At 38.4% G+C, this 20982-nt stretch overlaps 1 long non-coding RNA gene across 3 annotated transcripts in view; it reads right to left on the bottom strand.

The window, feature by feature from the left end:
* LOC107986262 (uncharacterized) overlaps window positions 1-20627 on the bottom strand; it is a 59101-nt gene extending 38474 nt beyond the window's left edge. For all 3 annotated transcript variants that reach the window (XR_001741598.1, XR_001741599.2, XR_001741600.2), the window contains exon 1: window positions 19238-20627. This is a non-coding gene — a long non-coding RNA (uncharacterized LOC107986262). The remainder of the gene's footprint in view (window positions 1-19237) is intronic.
* Window positions 20628-20982: the final 355 nt, after the last annotated feature.

Genomic DNA, 20982 nt, shown 5'->3' with positions numbered 1-20982 from the left:
TAAAGTCACCACCTTGACCATGCTACCCAAAGCAACTGCACCCACATACATGGACACACACACACCAGACCGTACTACTCTGACCTCTGCTAGTATTTTTCATAGCACTTATCACTACTTGGCATAACATATTTATCCATTTTCTTATCTGTGTCTTGTCTGCTTCCCCCAGAGTGTAAGCACCACTAGGGCAAGGACTTTTACTATCTTTCGCCTCTGTATTCCTCACAATAGAACAGTCCCTGACACCTAGTCATCGCCTGCTAAATTTTTGTCTAGTGAAAAAAACAAGATAGGATGTGTGAAGCCATAATAACGGAAGAGTGGTCAGCACAGTTGTCACACTTTCTGAGGATGGTGGAGGGAGATGGAGTGTAGGGTAAGATAGAAAGACGTTAAAACCAAAAAAGAAATGAGAGTCTGTCCAGGAGTTTAGCAAATAACGGTGATAATCTCCAGGAGAATGGAAAACAGTCAAGCAGCCCCCAAAAGGAGACATGGGGCTGGAAAGTTAGAGATCTGGTGCTAGTCTCTGCAACATCTTTGCTAATTGTACCAGATTTCTCTTGCCAAATTTTCAGTAGACATAGGAAGCTGTCTCATTGATCATCATCTACAGCCACACAGATAGAAGATACAAAAGGCACATTTTACTCATGCTCAGAAGTGGCCTGCTATTAAATTAAAAGAAAGCTCTGTGCTCGCCTCTTCCCCAAACTTAATTAGACACTCCTGAAGCCATGATCAGGAAGCACATAAAACAGAGAGTTGGAAAATCCAGATTCAAACTCCAGCTCTTCACTCCATTTGCTTCATGACTCCGGGCAAATCAGCAGCCCTCCACCCCTGCATCAATGTCTTCATCCTCTCAGGCAGATGCTCACTGCTCCTTGGCCGATTAGTGTCATTACATGTTTGTCACCCATACTATTAAGAGACTGAATATATAAACTGGCTATAAACAGACAATAGCCAGACCATCTATAGATATAGAGCCCTGACCCATAATCTCAGCAGCCACCAGTCCAAGAGATGAACCACAATCTCTGTAGCAATTTGCCCATACTATCCAGGATTTGATAAATAATTAATGGCTTTCCTAATTTTTGTCCCCACTTACAATTTAGGCCCACCAAAGAAAGCCAATATTGTTCCCTTAACCAATATTAGAGATATTATTATCCCTTAACCCTCTTCTAGATAGCCCACTTCCAGAGTCCCTGTGATGAACTCCGATCAGGACGTAGCTGAAACCTTCTTTATTCACACCAAAGCTTTCTCACTCCTCTAACTGCCTTTGAGATCTGCCAAACATGAGCAATGGTAGCTGACTCCCTTGCTATAGCAAGCTCTGGATAAATAACCTTTGTTTAGTCTCATTAGGGTGGCTTTTGTTTATGCATGAAGGAAGTTAAGCTGCAGCAGCAAACAGAATGCCAGGCACAGAATAGGTGCTCCATAAACATTCAGTGGAATTGAGCTGATCAGAATCTACAACAGACTGATAATAATAACTACCTCACACACACACAGTGTGGCTGTAAGGATTAAATTAGATCATCCAAGTAAAAACATTTTGAAAACTATAATGTGCTATGGAGTCATAAGGTATTATTAAGTTAAAAACAATGTACAATCAAAACCACATAGAAGAGTATGAGTATAATGCTGCTTTTCTGTGGATTCTTAATGATGAGAGACTCTTCGAATTATTTCCAGCCTTTTGGTTATGTGAATTAAATAGCCAAGCAGGAAGAAATTCTTTCAAAATAGGCTGTTAACTGTCCAAAGTCTTACTGGAAAAAATTCTGGAACTCCTAACCCTCTCTTCTTGCTTTCATCCGATTCAAACTGTACCTTCTCAATTCTCTTTCCTCCTCTGGCTAAAATCACATATCTTTGAACTTGCCTGCTTATGCCAGAGCAAAAAACATAAAAGATTGAAGAAAGCAAGTAGTCAGGATTCATCTTTGGTGTCCCCTGCCTGAGAGGCATTTTTTCCTAGCCTTTTGATTTCCTGTACCCTGGATTGAGCTCGTCTAAGCTATTTGATGCTTCCCTCCCTCATTTTCTGACTTACCTGAACTCAAATAGCCCCCTGCCTGTAGCCTGCCTGGCCCTACTGCCTCTATCTAGTCCTGTTAACCTGTGCTCACCCTCAATATTCTGCTTCCTACCTGCTTAACTATCATGCCTCATCTAGTCTCCAAACTCCAAACTTCCAATGACTGGGACTTTATTGTTAAGGTGGATTGGATCCTCAAGCAAAGCAAAGGACTGAGACTAACTTGCTGGCTGCCCAGAGACAAAGTCTTCCTTGGTCGCATTTTCTGGTTGAGGTCATCAGAGACCGGGATCTGTTCCTAAGTTGTGCAGGTCAAGAAATTCAGCAGTCAGTCTCTCAAATGACGATCAGCCATTTAAGGATAGCTTCGACCAAACTCACAAGAAAGTAATAAATAACCTGGAATGGCTGCCATTTATTTATTGAACAAGACACTGTGCTAAGAGCTTTGTGGACATGAACTACATGAACTCCTTTAGTTCTCACTACAACCAGAGGAAGTAAATGCAAGTGAGCCCCCATCTTAGGTAAGGCTGCTTGGGTTCACAGAGATTATGTAATTTGCCTGTGGTTACACATTTGGTGAGTTCATTTTGAATGTTGATCTGACTCCAAAATTCTTGCTCAGACACCATGTTAGATGTCTTCATTTTCAGTAAGAATATAATTGTTAGTCAGCCAGATCTTGGGATAGCATAAGCAGTGAATTTTATACCTATAGGAAAACTTCTGCACAATTGCTTATGTATTTCCCATGGTTGGTTTTATTTTCTTTTTACTAGCTCCTGTTGACACAGTTTTGGATAATGACATGTAAGAAGAAGTCTGCTTAGAATTTTTTTTGGAAATGTTTTCTCTCCCAAATATTAATGCCATACAATTTTCAATTTCAATTTTCCTATAAATATTAAATTCAGTCTTTATGCCAGCCCATTTGGCTACATGAAAAGCCAAATTGTCATTTTTAGAGTTGACAAGAAGCTTAGAAAGGAAGCAAAAAGAGTGAATTGGGTGACATATATGTCCAAATAACTGTGAGCTACTTGAGGGAAAGAAATTGAACTTTTATCTAGCATTGTGTCTGGTACATTGATGCTCAATAAATACTGGCCAAATAAATAATGGCACTTTCTGTAGTTATTTAATGTACCTATTTCCATCATAAGAATATGTATTGTGTGGAAGACACTGATAATTACTATGTCAGCCAAAGTTCCATCAGGAAACTAAGAGCATACATGTACGTTAGGATGAGTTGAGGGAAATTTAATAAGGGGAATATTAATATTTACAAAAGTGTGGGGAAGATGTAGGAAAATTGCATAATCCTCAGGCTGTCGCCACCTCATAAGCCTCAAGAGACAAGGGAAGGAATGACTGCTGGAACCCAGGAAAAAGGTTTATATAAAGGGCCATCTTGAGAAAATGCATGATCATTGTTTGAGGGCACAGCCACCCCTGGGTAACCTTGCATGGAAAGAGCTGAGGAAGAAATATACCCTGACCTCTCTCCCTTTATTCCCTCCAGTCTCCTGCCTGTAAGCCAAAGGTCTGGGAGCACAATAATGCAATCCATAAAGATCAGCTTCCACAAGCAGAAAGAATGGAGAAGGTTGGAAAATGGATCAACGGGGACAAAATTTCTGCACAACTGCTTATCTATTTCCCATGGTTGTTTTTATTTTCTTTTTAATAGCTCCTGCTGACACAGTTTTGGACAACGACATGTAAGAAGTCTGCTTAGAATTTTTGGAAATGGGCCGGGTGCAGTGGCTCATGCCTGTAATCCCAGGACTTCGGGAGGCCAAGGCGGGTGGATCACCTGAGGTCAGGGGTTCGAGACCAGCCTGACCAACATGGTGAAACTCTGTCTCTACTAAAAATACAAAATTAGCCAGGCATAGTGGCGCACGCCTGTAATCCCAGCTACTCAGGAGACTGAGGCAGGAGAATCATTTGAAGCTGGGAGGTGGAGGTTGCATTGAGCCAAGATCGCATCATTGCACTTCAGCCTGGGCAACAAGAGCAAAACTCCATCGCAAAAAAAAAAAAAAAAAAAAAGAATTTTTGGAAATGTTTTCTCTTCCAAATATAAATGCCATTTCTTCTTTCTTGTACTTCATTTATTCTTCTTCCTACCTGAATACACAGAAGCTAGAGGAATAACAGCCATCTTGTTACCATGAGGCAAACTGAGGATGACAGCCAACGACAGCAAAGCAGAAACATGGAAGGTGGCTGGATCTCTGGTAGTAGCAGCCCCATATGGTCTATCACCAGACTTCCATGTGAGAAAAATGATCCTCCACTGGGTTAAGTCATGGGAGTCAGCATTGTATTTTATGCAGCCATACTTAATCCTTAATTGATGTATCTTCCAAGCACCAGAAAGGAGATAGCCAAGTTAGGTCCTCTTCCCTGGACAGTGTTGGCCATACACACCCAAGTGTTGCCACTCTAAATGAATTATGCATGCATTCATGTATCAATGTATATATTTATGTACTTCCTTGCTGAGAACTGCTCTTTCATCCTCACACTTTTTGGCATTCTATTGTTAAAGCTATCATCAAGTTTTGGTAACCCGAGAGTTATTCTCCCTCCTTAGAGTGAGTTACAGGGCTCTTTTCTCATCTGTTGTGTTCTGATTTCATGGACCAAACTCTTAGAGTTCCAGAAATGACTTTCTGTCACTGTCTGCCATTAACAGGTCTAGGGCTGAAAAGCAGAATAAATAATAATAAATGACAAAATAAATGACTAATATTTGATAAACATTTACTGTGTGCCAGATGGTATGGCTTATTTCATTCTTCTAATCTCATTTTATAAATCAGAAAACTGAGGCTTAGAGAGATTACATTTCTTGGCCAAGGCCACCCAGTTAGCAAGAGTAACAGCCAGTATTCCAGCCTTGGTGGTCTAACTTCAGAACCTGTATTCTTGCATGACAATGTAGTCGGCTGGTTAAGCGTGTGTTCTCTGAAGTCAGACTGCCTAAATTCTAAACCCAGCACTGCTGTTTAGCAGCTACACAAACATGGACAAGGTGATTAACTTCTTTATGTGTTGGTTTCCACACCTATAAAATGGGGATAATAATTGTCTTAGTCAATTTTATGCTCCTGTAACAGATAACAACAGAATGAGTAATTTATAAAGAACAGAAGTTAATCTTTTTAAAAAGAAAAATTCTCATAATTTTATTATATTTAATTTCGTTTTAATGTATTGTTTATTGTGAAGAGGTTATATAGATATATAGTAAAAAGTTTTAAAACCACAAAATGGAATGCAGTCAAAAGTAAGTCTTCCTTTCTCTGCTGTGTGCAGCTTCCTAATCTTTCTCCCTAAGACTACCTCTAATGCCAGTTTATTATAGGTATGTCCAGAAAGATTCTGTGAATTTATAAACATAAATGTATGCACATTCTTTTTTTCCTCTATCACACAAATTGTGGCATACTATATATAGTATTTTATGTGCTTATTTTTTTTCTTTTGTACCTTTTATTTATTTATTTATTTTGATACATAATAGATACATATTTTTCTGGGTATGTGTGATAATTTAATATATTTGTATAATCAAATCAGGGTAATTAGGCTATCCATCACCTTAAATATTTATCATTTCTTTATGCTATAAATACTTGAACTATTCTCTTCTAGCTATTTTGAAATATGCAATAGATTAATGTTAAGTATAGCCACCCTACTGATCTATTGAACACCAGGTCTTATTTCTTCCATCTAACTGTATATCTGTACCCATTGATCAATATCTCTTTATCCCTCTCTCCCCCATACCGTTCCCAGGCTCTGGCAACCGCCAATCTACTCTTTATCTTTATGAGATTCACTTTTTCAGCTCCCACATACAAGTGAGAACATATGATATTTGTCTTTCTGTGCTTGGCTTATTTCATTTAACATAATGACCTCCAGTTCCATCCATGTTAGTGCAAATGACAGGATTTCATCATTTTATATCTAAAAAAACTTTCATTATGTATGTATATTACATTTTCTTTATCCAGTCTGCCATTGATGGGCACTTAGGTTGACTCCATATTTTGGCTATTGTGAATAGTGCCACAGTAAACATGGGAGTGCAGATATCCCCTTGATATATTGATTTCCTTTCTTTTGGATATATCCCCAGCAGTGGAATTGCTGGATCATACAATAGTTCTACTTTTAGTTTTTAAAGCAACCTCCACGCCGTTCTCCATAGTGTCTGTACTAATTTACATTCCCACCAATAGTGTATGAGGGTTGCTTTTTCTCCACATCCTTACCAGCATCCATTATTCCCTGTCTTTTTTATAAAAGCCATTCTAAGTGGGGCGAGATGATATCTCATTGTGGTTTTGATTTAAATTTCCCAGATGACTAGTGATGCTGAGCATTTTTTCATATATCTGTTGCCCATTTGTATGTCTTTCAAGAAATGTCTATCCAGATCTTTTCAAACCATAGCAATAATGATGCATTTTATTAGCATTAAATGAGTCAATGCACAAATAGTGTTTAACTCAGCATCTGGCATAAAATGGCTACTTGGTAAATGTTAGCTCTTATTATTCCACCACAGAAGTTATATGTTGGCTCTGCTCAGACATATAAAAATAAAGATAAAAGAGGTGGAAGAGATGGCATCTTTTCAGAGCCTAAGTGAAATGACAAAAGCACAGGCCTCTGAGACCTAGGCAAGTCATTTACCATCTCTGACCCTCTCTTTTCATATCTCTAAAATGAGAACAAAAATCTGTGCCTACTTCACAGTGTTTTATGAGTATCAAATGAAGTAACCTATGGAAAGAATTCATAAACTGTAAAGCACTGTATAAATCTGTCATTTGATTTTTTTCTCATCCACTTCTCCCAAGAGTTCTGGGCAATGGCCAGAAGCAATGTCTCCTCTGCATACAATATGTTACAGTCACTTTTAATAAAGTTTTAGAGCAGTTTTTCAAACCTTTCATAGAACTCTTTAAATTAGAGTGACCTACACTCAACTGTTGGGCTCAAAACATGTCCCAGCTATGATGTCAAGATCTTAACATTTCATGGGTTCTTCATTCATGGAATGCCCCTTTTAATGTTTAAGCTTGAAAAGTCATAGTTTCCAATGCAGATGCTTCAACCTATGACTAATTTATTCATTCAGTTTATTGAATGCTTTTTATAGATTAGGCCCTTACTTGTCACTGGAGATACAACAGTAAATCAGAAAGTGCTATCTTATAGACTCACTGCCTTCATGAATATAGACATGAAGACATATAATTACAATACAGTTTGCCCAGAAGTGAAATTCTACCTAAGGGAATGAAGTCTTCAAGATAATATAAAAGTCGAGTCTTGAAGAAAGACATGCAGGGGAGGATAGGAAAAGGGGCAGGCAGTTCTTTAAGTCCACCTGTACTGCAATGGCACCAAGTATATTCTGTTAGAGGAAGTTTCAGTCCCTTCTTTAGCCACGTGCCTCATTCATCTGGTCTTTCTGTTGCAGAGAAAGGCACAGAGAGAAAGATGAGGAGCTGGGATTTGAAGAGGTAAAGACAAACTTTTTACCTAATTGCCTCAAGCTCATCAAAGGAGTATAGGCCAGGTTCCCACACCCTACTATTTTCTTTAGAAATCTTAGTGTCTTCCTGAAGGATTCTGAAAAATCTTCAGTTTTTCAGGTTTTCTCCTCCCATCTCACTCCCCAGGGTAGTATTTGGATGTTTGTGGGCGGTTGCTATGGTCAGAATGTTTGTGTTCTTCCAAAATTTGTAGTCGTTGTAGTCATCAATGTGTTGATGTTGGGAAGTGGAGTCTTTGGAAGGTGACTAGGTCACAATGGTGGAACCTTCATAAATGAGATTTAGAGCCCTTTAAAAAGCTGTCCTACAGAGCTGCCTTGTTTCTTTCATCATGCGAAGACACAGCTAGAGTGCTCCATCTATGAGTCAGAAAGCAAGCCCTTACCAGACACCAAATCTGCTGGTACTTTGATTTTGGATTCCAGAACTGTGAGAAATAAAGTTCTGTTGTTCATAAGCTACCCAGTTCACGGATTTTGTTATAGCAGCCCAAACACACTAAGATAGCAAAGGGAGGAATTTAAATAAACTAGTCAGAATATTTTTTACCACTTTTTTAAAAAGTTTTAAAAATTACTTTTGGTGACTTTAATAAATATTAAAGTAAATAAATCAGTGTGTATTTTGCAAGAAGCTGCTACATTTTTTTAAACTCTTTAAAAGTCTTTAAAATTCATTGCACTGATGGTCAGATATTTGCTATTAAAATTATAAAGATGACATTCTAAGGTGAAAATATATCTTCAGAAACAAGTGTTTTTTTCTTGGGTATTCTTGGTCTTTCCAGCTTTGGGAAGAGTTCTTTCAGGAGGGGACTTTATCTGAAGAGTGATAAAGAAACAAGAGATTCAGTCAATCCAATGACTTTTAGTGATCTTCACTAAGCTGGTTCTGGGTGCCCCCAGAATACAAAGGTGAGCTGGACACAGACCCTGTGCTGGAGGAGATCACGGACCAGAACTGTGAGCAATTTATGATTTCTGACCCATCTTGCCACCTAAAAACAATCTTGAATTCTCCATTCCTGGTAAACTCCAAAGCCAGGTTTACCAGCCACTAACTCTGGGTCACAAATAAAAGTGCCAAATCTGAGATCACAGAAAACTCACTTTGATCTATTCATCCCATTGTACCTGAATCTGAAGGTTTCAGCAGCAAACAAAAGACATTTTATGATGGAGGCCTTTTTCCTAATGGTTAGACTTTAATACCCAAGTGTCCTCTGTACCACTTGCTAGCACGCCCCTTGATTATTCCAGAGTCTTAGATCACTGGTCTTCCTGTCTATCAACCCAGCTCCCTCTGACCTAATGTAATCAATGCTCTTCATATAACATAAAGTTTATTCCCCTAAGTGTTATTCCATCTTTGAAATTATATTTTTTTAATTATACTTTAATTTTGGGGGTACATGTGCACAATGTGCAGGTTTGTTACATATGCATACATGTGCCGTGTTGATGTTGCTGCATCCATCAACTCATGATTTACATTAGGTATTTCTCCTAATGCTATCCCTCCCCCAGCCCCCCAGCCCCGGACAGGCCCCGGTGTGTGATGTTCCCCTCCCTGTGACCATGTGTTCTCATTGTTCCACTCCCACTTATGAGTGAGGACATGCGGCGTTTGGTTTTCTTATCTTTTAAAATTCAGCTTTATTGCTCATCTCTGTCTGTATCCACCAAACACAAAATAAAGTAGATATCTGGAAATTCTCCATTTATTTGATCTTTGCAGATAACAAAATCAGGTCTTTTGATCCAGGGAACCAACTCTGCAGCATCAGCTTTCCCATTTGACCTTGTGATTGAAATTTATTAAATAATCACCAAATCTTCACTACATAATGGGACTGATTATATGAGTGAGCGATTTCACTTGAGGCAAAGAAGGATTTTATTACATATCATTTACATTTTTTAAATTCAGCACTTTGAGGACTATCACTCACATTTGGAAAAAATATTATTTGCCTGGCACATGGGAAATGCTCAATATATATTTGTGAAAAATGAATGAATAAGTGAATAATTGAATGAAGGTTTGTATTTTTAAAGGCTAATGTGCAAAATCACTGTGAAAGTGGGCATATAGTTTAAAAAAAAACTTGGAGCAAGAGAATGGCATCGTCAGATTGGTATTTTAAAAGAGCATGCTTATTTTATTTAACCATTACTAGTTTCCTAGGTGCAATATATAATAGTCTACAATTTAGTAAATAGGTCAAAGAAAGACCAATTCAGATTCAACCCATCAGAAAATTCTCCTGTTTCTAAACTCAACCTAAGAAATGAGAAAATCGGCACTTCTATTAGCCTCTGAATATTCCACATATATTTGTTTTTTCCTTCCAGGAAGAATATACAGTTCTACTGGAATATTAAACAAAAAGTAGGGCAAGATCTCTATTCTCAGAAAATAGAGATCTTGCCCTACTTTTTATTTAATTTTCCAGTATGATGGGTGCTAACTCAGTACCTCCAAGGTTAGTTATTTATCACATTGACCTCTGTAGCCTACAAACACCTCTCTGCTATACCCACACTTTCTCCATCTCCAAAACTTGCTCATTCATTGAATAAATATAGCATCCTAGGGCTTGAGTGAGCATCTGGCAATTCAATGGCCCCTGACTTCGAAGTATTTACTGTCTAAGACAATGGTTCTCAAACATTAGTGAGCAACTACCCCACCCGAAGAGCTGAAGTGCAGCTGAGAATTTGTATTTCTAACATGGGTCCAGGTAATGTAGGTTCTGGTCGCTGGGACCATATTTTGAGAACCACTAGTCTAGTGGATTCCTGAGAATTCTTGAAAGAAACTGGCAAAGTAGAGGAGGAAGCCAAGAGCCTTGTTGCAAAGCACCCATAATCCTTACACTAATATCTCAAAAAATAACTCAAAAAATGCTCCACCTTACTGAACATTTTTTGTAACAAAAATGTTTTGTAACAACTCTTACTGAAAGCTTGAAAATCTTCCCCTTGTCAGAAATTCTAATTCTTAAATAGGGAATCCTTTCCCCATTGCTTGTTTTTCTCAGGTTTGTCAAAGATCAGATAGTTGTAGATATGCAGCGTTATTTCTGAGGGCTCTGTTCTGTTCCATTGATCTATATCTCTGTTTTGGTACCAGTACCATGCTGTTTTGGTTACTGTAGCCTTGTAGTATAGTTTGAAGTCAGGTAGTGTGATGCCTCCAGCTTTGTTCTTTTGGCTTAGGATTGACTTGGCAATGCGGGCTCTTTTTTGGTTCCATATGAACTTTAAAGTAGTTTTTTCCAATTCTGTGAAGAAAGTCATTGGTAGCTTTATGGGGATGGCATTGAATCTGTAAATTACCTTGGGCAGTATGGCCATTTTCACGATATTGATTCTTCCTACCCATGAGCATGGAATGTTCTTCCATTTGTTTGTATCCTCTTTTATTTCCTTGAGCAGTGGTTTGTAGTTCTCCTTGAAGAGGTCCTTCACATCCCTTGTAAGTTGGATTCCTAGGTATTTTATTCCTTTGAAGCAATTGTGAATGGGAGTTCACTCATGATTTGGCTCTCTGTTTGTCTGTTGTTGGTGTATAAGAATGCTTGTGATTTTTGTACATTGATTTTGTATCCTGAGACTTTGCTGAAGTTGCTTATCAGCTTAAGGAGATTTTGGGCTGAGACAATGGGGTTTTCTAGATATACAATCATGTCGTCTGCGAACAGGGACAATTTGACTTCCTCTTTTCCTAATTGAATACCCTTTATTTCCTTCTCCTGCCTCATTGCCCTGGCCAGAACTTCCAACACTATGTTGAATAGTAGTGGTGAGAGAGGGCATCCCTGTCTTGTGCCAGTTTTCAAAGGGAATGCTTCCAGTTTTTACCCATTCAGTATGATATTGGCTGTGGGTTTGTCATAGATAGCTCTTATTATTTTGAAATATGTCCCATCAATACCTAATTTATTGAGAGTTTTTAGCATGAAGGGTTGTTGAATTTTGTCAAAGGCTTTTTCTGCATCTATTGAGATAATCATGTGGTTTTTGTCTTTGGCTCTGTTTATATGCTTGATTACATTTATTGATTTGCGTATATTGAACCAGCCTCCATGGTGCTGGGAAAACTGGCTAGCCATATGTAGAAAGCTGAAACTGGATCCCTTCCTTACACCTTATACAAAAATCAATTCAAGATGGATTAAAGACTTAAATGTTAGACCTAAAACCATAAAAACCCTAGAGGAAAACCTAGGCATTACCATTCAGGACATAGGCATGGGCAAGGACTTCATGTCCAAAACACCAAAAGCAATGGCAACAAAAGACAAAATTGACAAATGGGATCTAATTAAACTAAAGAGCTTCTGCACAGCAAAAGAAACTACCATCAGAGTGAACAGGCAACCTACAAAATCGGAGAAAATTTTCGCAACCTACTCATCTGACAAAGGGCTAATATCCAGAATCTACAATGAACTCAAACAAATTTACAAGAAAAAATCAAACAACCCCATCAAAAAGTGGGCAAAGGACATGAACAGACACTTCTCAAAAGAAGACATTTATACAGCCAAAAAACACATGAAGAAATGCTCATCATCACTGGCCATCAGAGAAATGCAAATCAAAACCACAATGAGATACCATCTCACACCAGTTAGAATGGCGATCATTAAAAAGTCAGGAAACAACAGGTGCTGGAGAGGATGTGGAGAAATAGGAACACTTTTACCCTGTTGGTGGGACTGTAAACTAGTTCAACCATTGTGGAAGTCAGTGTGGTGATTCCTCAGGGATCTAGAACTAGAAATACCATTTGACCCAGCCATCCCATTACTGGGTATATACCCAAAGGACTATAAATCATGCTGCTATAAAGACACATGCACACGTATGTTTATTGCGGCATTATTCACAATAGCAAAGACTTGGAACCAACCCAAATGTCCAACAATGACAGACTGGATTAAGAAAATGTGGCACATATACACCATGGAATACTATGCAGCCATAAAAAATGATGAGTTCATGTCCTTTGTAGGGACATGGATGAAATTGGAAATCATCATTCTCAGTAAACTATCGCAAGAACAAAAAACCAAACACCGCATATTCTCACTCATAGGTGGGAATTGAACAATGAGATCACATGGACACAGGAAGGGGAATATCACACTCTGGGGACTGTTGTGGGGTTGGGGGAGGGGGGAGGGATAGCACTGGGAGATGTACCTGATGCTAGATGACGAGTTGGTGGGTGCGGCGCACCAGCGTGGCACATGTATACATATGTAACTAACCTGCACAATGTGCACATGTACCCTAAAACTTAAAGTATAATTAAAAAAAAAAAAGAAATTCTAATTCTTTTTTTTAAAAACTTCTTAATGGAGATAGAGGAGAAGTTCTGAATCAGAACTATAAAAACTATCTTATATTTGAGTATTTTTCTGTTTATTTATAAATGACTTGCCAAATGTACTAAATATGGTTTTCCCCAGCCTTTTGCAAAATTAGAGACTTTTGTGAAAATATGTCTTAACATAATCAGAAGTGTCATTTTCCATAAAAATATTTTTATAAATTTACACTCAGGTTTTTGTAAACTTTTAATCTGTTCAGTTAATAATGATTCAAAAAATACATAACTGCCCTCTCCCTGTAAATAATGCAAATAATATAAACAAGGTGAAGCCCTTTTTGAGTCCCAATTCCCCACCTCTTCCCCTCCCTGACCTGGAGTTAAGCACTTAGTCTGATGTGTATCATTTCAGCGTTTTTTCTGTTCAATTTCACCTTGTGTATACATAGAAATGTACGACTTGTTTTTATTTTTAACATCAATGCTATTGTAGTTGGTATGGTTTAGCTGGGTTCCCGCCCAAATCTCATTTCAATTGTAGTTCCCATAATCCCCATGTGTCATGGGAGGGACCAAGTGGGAAGTGATTGGATCATAGGGGTGGTTTTCTCCATGTTGTTCTCATGATAGTGAGTGAGTTCTCACAAGATCTGATGGTTTTATAAGCCTCTGCCATTTCCAGTGCTGGCACTTCTCTCTCCTGCCACCATGTAAAGAAGAATATGTTTGCTTCCCCTTCTGCCATGATTTTGTTAAGTTTCCTGAGGCCTCCCCAGCCATGTGGAACTGTGAGTCAATTAAACCTCTTTCCTTTATAAATTACCAGCCTCAGGTATGTCCTTATAGAAGCATGAGAATGGAGTAATACAGTAATATCTGTATTATTCTGCAACTGGCCTTTGCCCCTTAAAGTGTTATGGTGCAGGTATTCTTACGAAGCCATTTAGGTAGACCTACTTCACTAATTCTAATGCCTGCATAGTATTCCATATTATGGAAATGCCATCATTTGTCATAATTACCCCTTTTTTTAAACAGCCATTTAGGTTGTTTCTAATCTTTTACTATTGCTAACAATGGCCAATTCTTGGGTTTGCCCTGTTTTGAAAAGATTCAAGCATGATATTGCTAAGTCTAAGGGTATAGCATGTACATTAAAATCTTACATTTAAAAATGGCATTGCCAAACAGCCCTTTCAAAGGGCTACACCAATTTTCACTCCAAAAACAGTGTTAAAATTAATCCTTTTCCCCATACCGTCACCCACGCTGTTTATAATAGAACTTTCCAAATTTGCATGTTGTAGATGTTCAAAAACATCTTATAAAAATGATCCTTCAATCCCAATGCATCTTCTGAATTTGCATTCTATTAAATCTCCGCCTGCTAGAGTATATAAATTGTTTTCATTTGAACTGATTTTATTTTCCATTTTCTCCCTAAAGAAATTCTTCTAAGTAATAGAGATTCCAGTCTCTTCAGAGTTTCTCTGAGTTCACCTACATCCTTTTAAGAAGGCATGAACTCCAAAAAGAAATACATCAAAATATTAATGGTAATTGCTTTCTGGGTGATAGGTGATTTTTTTATTATCCTTGCTGTTGTTTCCAAGTTTTCTCTAATAGCTAATATTTGTAGAGTGCTTTCTATTTTCCAGACACTGTTCTAAGCAGTCTCCAAGCTTTATTTCATTTTATCTTCAAAACGAGCAGATGAGGCAAGTCCCACCATTTTTCCTATAATATACACAAGACTAAGAGAGGTGAAATATCTTTCCCCAAATCCCATAGCTATGAAGGATTTGAGCACAGGCAGGCTGATTCTACAACTAACTACTGTACCATACTACCACCTATGAACATGTACTTTTTTTATAATTTGATTAAATAAAATAATATTTAAATATCAACTGAAAGCAACATTATGTATAATAACCAAAGATCAATAGCATTGCGACCTGTGAGCTTACTCCTCCCAGGGGGAGGCTTACCTTCTTAGCCACACCAAGACTTTTCCCAGCGTCACCCCTGCCCAAAGATTTAAAGATACAAGCTTCAACAAGATCTAGATTTTACAGTCTTTTAATCCTCCTATAATTCATTCTATAATTCATTTTTATCAGCTTTTCTTTGTCTCCTGTGAAGACATCTTGTTGCATAAAACACACACAGTAATTTAATTGTTGGCTTCTGTGTGTAATATACTTAGCCAGTTTCTGCTTATTTTTTGAAGATCCTCAAATCCCACTCTTTAGCTGATAGTTTATCTTTTTTAATATCAATTGGAATTGCCGCAACACCCAACACTGACACACAGTTTCCAGAGCAAAGCTCCGTGGTCAGACTCCCAAGCTCCTTAGTAGTGGTGGCAATGACTGAGAATCACCATCAAAGAACATCAACAGATTGCATTACAATCTGTCAATCGTTCTCTAGAGAGAGGAACTGGCAACTCGTTATATTAAAGAACCACAATCAAGCATCTGGAATATGGCAGTGCATGTCGGTTTTCTGTGAACTGATGAGTTTCAGCAATTTAGAATCCTGCACTTTTTGACATAATATTATCCACAGCATCTCTAATACAAATGTACAATCCATGTGAATCACAATTGTCATTCAAGCCACACCTTAGTGAATGTCCTCTCTGTTTCAGAGATTTAGCTTTAGAGTTACATATAGACTTATTCTGATGAGACAATTGTGTATTTTTTAAATTCTAATTAACAAAAAATCTTCCCTCTTCATTTGCCTCCTGCCAGTAGGAAAATTAAGACAGCTTCTTAATAAGACATTTGTGTCAATTCCTATCCTGTTAAGTAATAACCTCCTTATTTTTTTTTCACATAGGGAGGGTCAACAACTAGAGCAGATAGGCTGAAAAAGCCTAAAATCATCATTGTCCTGGCTACAGTTATTGAGCACTCATCATGTGTCCAGCACTGTGGCTCTATTTCACGAGCATTATTTCATTGAATCTCCCCAAGTGTCCTGTGGTGCCAGGATTACTATTATTCCCATGTTACAAAGAAGGAAAGTGACCTTTAGAGATTATATAGTTTGCACAAAGTCATATAGCTAGTAAGTAGCAGAGCTGGGATTATCTATCAGTTAGCTTTGCTGCATAACAAGCTACTCCAAAATGTAGTGGTTTAAGAAAGTAACCATTTATTTAACTCACAAATCCTTAGGTCAGCAATTTGGTCTGGACTCAATTGATCTCACCTGGGCCTCACCCATGTGCCCGCAGTCAGCTATTGGCTAGTTGGGATACCTGGATTCTCATCCACGTGGCTTCCCATTTTGCAGAAACCTAGCTTGGACTCATTCATATGGTAGTTGCAGGGTTCCACTCACAGCTAGAGAGGGCAAGTCTCAATGTGCTCACACTTTTTGATCCTCCGTACTAATCATAATCTCAAAAGACACAATCCCAAATGTTGAAATCCCAAATGATCAAAGTCCCTAAAATTTAAATCCCTAAAGTCTGAAATATCTAGCATCTTAAAATTCTGAAAATCACAAGTAGTGCATTTTTTATTGTATATGTGATAGTTGCATCATGTTACCTTCATCATGTTAGGTGGAACTATTACCTTGTTGTTATCTTATTGGGAATTTAGTAAAGTTAAGGAGATACATATATGTGCCAAGTTGATAAGGGGTAGACTTGTGAACTTAATTCTAAATGTCAACTTGACTGGATTAAGAAATACCTAGAAACCTGGTCAAGCCTTATTTGAGGTGTGTCTGCAGAGTGTTTCCAGAAGAGATAACTGTGTGAGTCTAAGTGGACTACGGGAGAAAATCTGCCCTCAATATTGGTGGGTGTATTAATCTGTTCTCATGCTACTAATAAAGACATACCCAAGACTGGGTAATTTATGAAGAAAAAGAGGTTCAATTGACTCACAGTTCTATATGGCTGGGGATGCCTCACAATCAAGACAGAAGGCAAAGGAGGAGCAAAGTCATGTCTTCCATGGAAACAGGCAAAAAGAAAGAATGAGAACCAAATGAAAGGGGTTTCCCCTTGTAAAACCGTCAGATCTCATGAGACTTATTCACTACCATGAGAACAGTATGGGGAAAACCGCCACCATGATTCAATTATCTCCCTCCAGGTCCTTCCCACAACACATGGGAATTATAGGAGCTACAATTAAAGATGAGATTTGGGTGGGGACACAGCCAAACCATATCAGTGGGCAACATCCAATTGACCAGGGGCCCAGAGAGAACACACACAGAAAGAAAATCCGTCTCCCTCTGAGCGCTGGGACAGACTTTTCTTCAGCTCTTTTTGATCTCAACAAAAGACAGGTCGTTCATCATGGTATTTCAGATGACCACAGTTATATAAGCTATTCCTTTATGACTATGGTTCATCTACCCATAACTGTTATACTCCTGGCACTGTCAGTGTACCTGAGTCTTTATGCTTACAAAAATATGTAGGTTATTATTACCTGTTTTATCATTTAAAGTGGCCTATGAAGTGTTCTGTCATGTTTTCTTATGTTTCTCAAGTAAGTCCCCTTTTATAAATGAAAATAAATGTCTTTTAAATAATTTCTAAATTGTTTCCCAGAATTTTATTTTTGATGTTATGGCATTCGGGATTAGGTCTTTCAGGATTACAGCCCAAGCCCCTTAATGGTCTGCTTGCATGACATTTGCTACTCTCCCATTAGCCAAACCCAGTCCCCAAACCAGCCCAGATTTAAGCTCACAGTAGAGAGAGCCTTTACCTCATGAGAGGCTATTTTGCAGCCTACTACAAATTTCAACCCACATTCTGCTGATGCCAAAGCCCTCTACTCTGTGCCAGGGCTGGATCTGCTTGCCCTGAGATCTTTCTCACCTTCTACCTGCTCTGCTTTGTGTTAGAGGGGCCTTGACTCCTGCAGGCTCAGTTTCCCAGGTGCCCATGGAAAGCCAGTGAAAGGTAGTGGAAAAAGATTATAAGACAGGAAGAAAGAGAAGTAGGACAGGCCTCACTTTCCCACTCTGCCTTAGGCTGAATCTCCAGTAGCCAGTGAAACTCCTCAGATCCTCAAGTCCCCTCAGCACAGGCCTGGCATTGTTTCCACCTGCACCTCCTCCATGTGTCCCTTCTGCCTAAGGCAGTGACGGCTTCCAGCCATTGCTAATTGTGAGGTTGCTACATCATTCTTTGACTTCCCAGCTCCTCCTTTAAAACTCACACAACCAACCCTCCGCATTAAATTGCCTCTGTTTTAAATATTTAATGTTTTCCATTTTCCTGGATGAACACTGAGTGCTATATACTCCCCTGTTCTTTGAGTCTACTAGGTTGGAACCACTATGTAATTTCCTTCCTACAATCCAAGCACTATAGAAGCAACCATATTCATCCACTCAGAAAACCTTTATGGAAGAACTACTGTGCCCAAACCCTGGGCTAGATACTGTGGTTGGAAAATTGAATAATACTTTATAAAACAAACCCAAAGAAGACAGGTTGTTATACAAATAACAAGCATATAGTAAGGTTCTCTAATGAAGATATGAATAGAGCTTAGTGGAAAATCAGCCAAATTTGATAAGTCAGTGCAAAATTCCAGAGTCAGAGGGACTGAATTGATGCCTTGCGCCCTTATTATCAATAAAGTAATTTACTTATATTCAGCTACCTCCTTGATACAATAGGAATAATGGGAACAACTTCATAAGATTACTGTAAAGATTAAAAGCAATAATACCTACGTTGGAGTTTAGACAGTGCAGGTCTGGCCCATAATAAATGTTTAATAAGTGCTAGGTATTACTTTTATGGAAATGCAAGGGAAAGAACATCCATTTACTTTGAGGGTCACAGAAGCTTTCCCAAAAGAGAAGACCTTTCCAAGGACTCTTGAAAGAAGAATAAGAAGTCACCTGGAGAATTAAAGACATTTAAGCAGAGAAACATGGCTTCTTTGCTCAAGAAGTTTTCACGCTCACTTGGATGAACTTAAAATAATTTAATTTAATTCAATTAACATTTATCTTCCCCCTGCCAGCCTGATATTCTAAGGTTTAGAAAGCCCCAGGAACCCTGAAAGTATAGTTAATTTCCTAGAGTGACTACCGCTATATCTTATTGTCATCTAAATTGGAACAGATTTGGGGTTATTTAAATCGGTGGTTCAAAAATAAAGCAGAAATAGACTGATGAGCATTTTTAAAACAGATTTTCTTAAAATACAACCTGCACTTTTCATCTACTCACCAAAAATATTATTCTGATGGTCTGTCATGTGTCCAGCACCACTGCAGGCACCATGGTTTCAGCAGTGAGGAAGACAACCATGTCCCTCCCTACACGGAACGTGTGTTTTACTTGGGAGAAACAAACAAAAACAAGTCATCAAATAAGTAAACAAGATCAGTACAAATGACGATTAAGTGATGCTATGCAAATAAAATAATAAAATGTGATATAGAATAACTGGGGAGCCACTTTCAGTACAGTGATCAAGAAAGTACTCCGTGAGAAAAATGGAGTTTGAGCTGATTATCAATCTGATTCAGGAAAGTCTGGAATAGTACCTGAGTGTATGAAAGTTCCAGAAGTTGCCCCAACTGAGCTTGATAAACACTCAGGTTTTAAAATCACTAGTTTAAATGATAAAACAATAATTTTTATGGTTCAAGTTAGAAGGCTTTGACTTCACACCACTGCCTGTACAAAAAAAGCCTAAATTTCTCAGCATGGTATTTATGACTGACTCCCCATGATCTGGCCTCAACTCATCTCAATTCCTCTGGGCTGCTCTTCTAATATCCTAAGTTCGAATTAAATAACATGAACTTTACCAGCCAGGGTAGAATGCTCTTCCTGCTATACCCATTACCATCCTCACCATCAACTCCACTGTCACCTGACTTCTAACAGTCATAATTTTATCCAACTTTCCCACCCCAGTTGACACACCACTTGTCCTAAAGAACTCTCTCCAAATCCCCATCTGAAAATGACTCATGATCCTTCTGGACACCCACAGCACTTTGTTTCCACAATCCCAGAATAGCAATATCTCACTGTAACTTTGGTTACAGCTATTGACACAGAGATTTATATGCCCTGTGATGCTGTAAGCTCCTTGAAGGCAAACACTAGCCTCTCCATCTTTGTCCAACCTGCAAGGCTTAGTACACTGTTTGGCGCATATTAGGGGTGCCAGCTATTAAGCCATTGTTTCTCACCTCCAAACCTGTGATGCTATAGTCACTACATGACGCTGGAATCAAGACTACGCAACCCACTTCTGCTCTGGGGCACACTAGAGGGAGAATACAAGGCCTGAAGAGGAGGAAAGGAATTGCTCATTTTTGTTTGCTTCCTGTTGACATCCTGTCTCTTCTCCATTCCTAGGTGAACAGCACCTTAAAAAAGCTTCTTTCCCAGCAGTTCTTTCCTAGAACAGCAGCTGAATGCAGTTCGGGTTTTTTTTCCAACAGGTAGAACCAGCCTCACCCTGCCACCTTGGTGAGACTAGTACCAGGAAATTAGTGCACCTCCACTAAAGTCTGAGTTTCAATCGGTTTCAAAATTCCCTATATTTCTTTCCAATCAACTTTATTAAGTAATAATTTACATAAAATAAAATGTAACCATTTTAATAGTTTTGTTTTCACCTATACTAATGTAATCTTCATTCCAATAAAAATACAGGTCATTTTTATCACCCAAAAAGTACTTTTGTGCTCTTTTACAATCAATACCCCACTTCACAGATGGTCTCAGAAAACAAATGATGTATGTTCTGTCACCATTGTCTAATTTTGCCTTTTTTTTTTTTTTACAATTTCGTATATTGAAATCATGAAGTATGTATCTTTCTGTGTCTGGCTTCATTTGTTGAATATAATGTATTGTAACTGCTCAATGGGTTCACCTTGCCCGCTGCCTAGACAGAACCAATTTATGAAGACAAGGGAATTCCAATAGAGAAAGAATAATTCACGCAGAGG

Source organism: Homo sapiens, chromosome 4 (genome assembly GCF_000001405.40).
Source record: "Homo sapiens chromosome 4, GRCh38.p14 Primary Assembly".
Lineage (NCBI taxonomy): Eukaryota > Metazoa > Chordata > Mammalia > Primates > Hominidae > Homo > Homo sapiens.
This window is presented reverse-complemented; position numbering and strand designations above follow the sequence as displayed.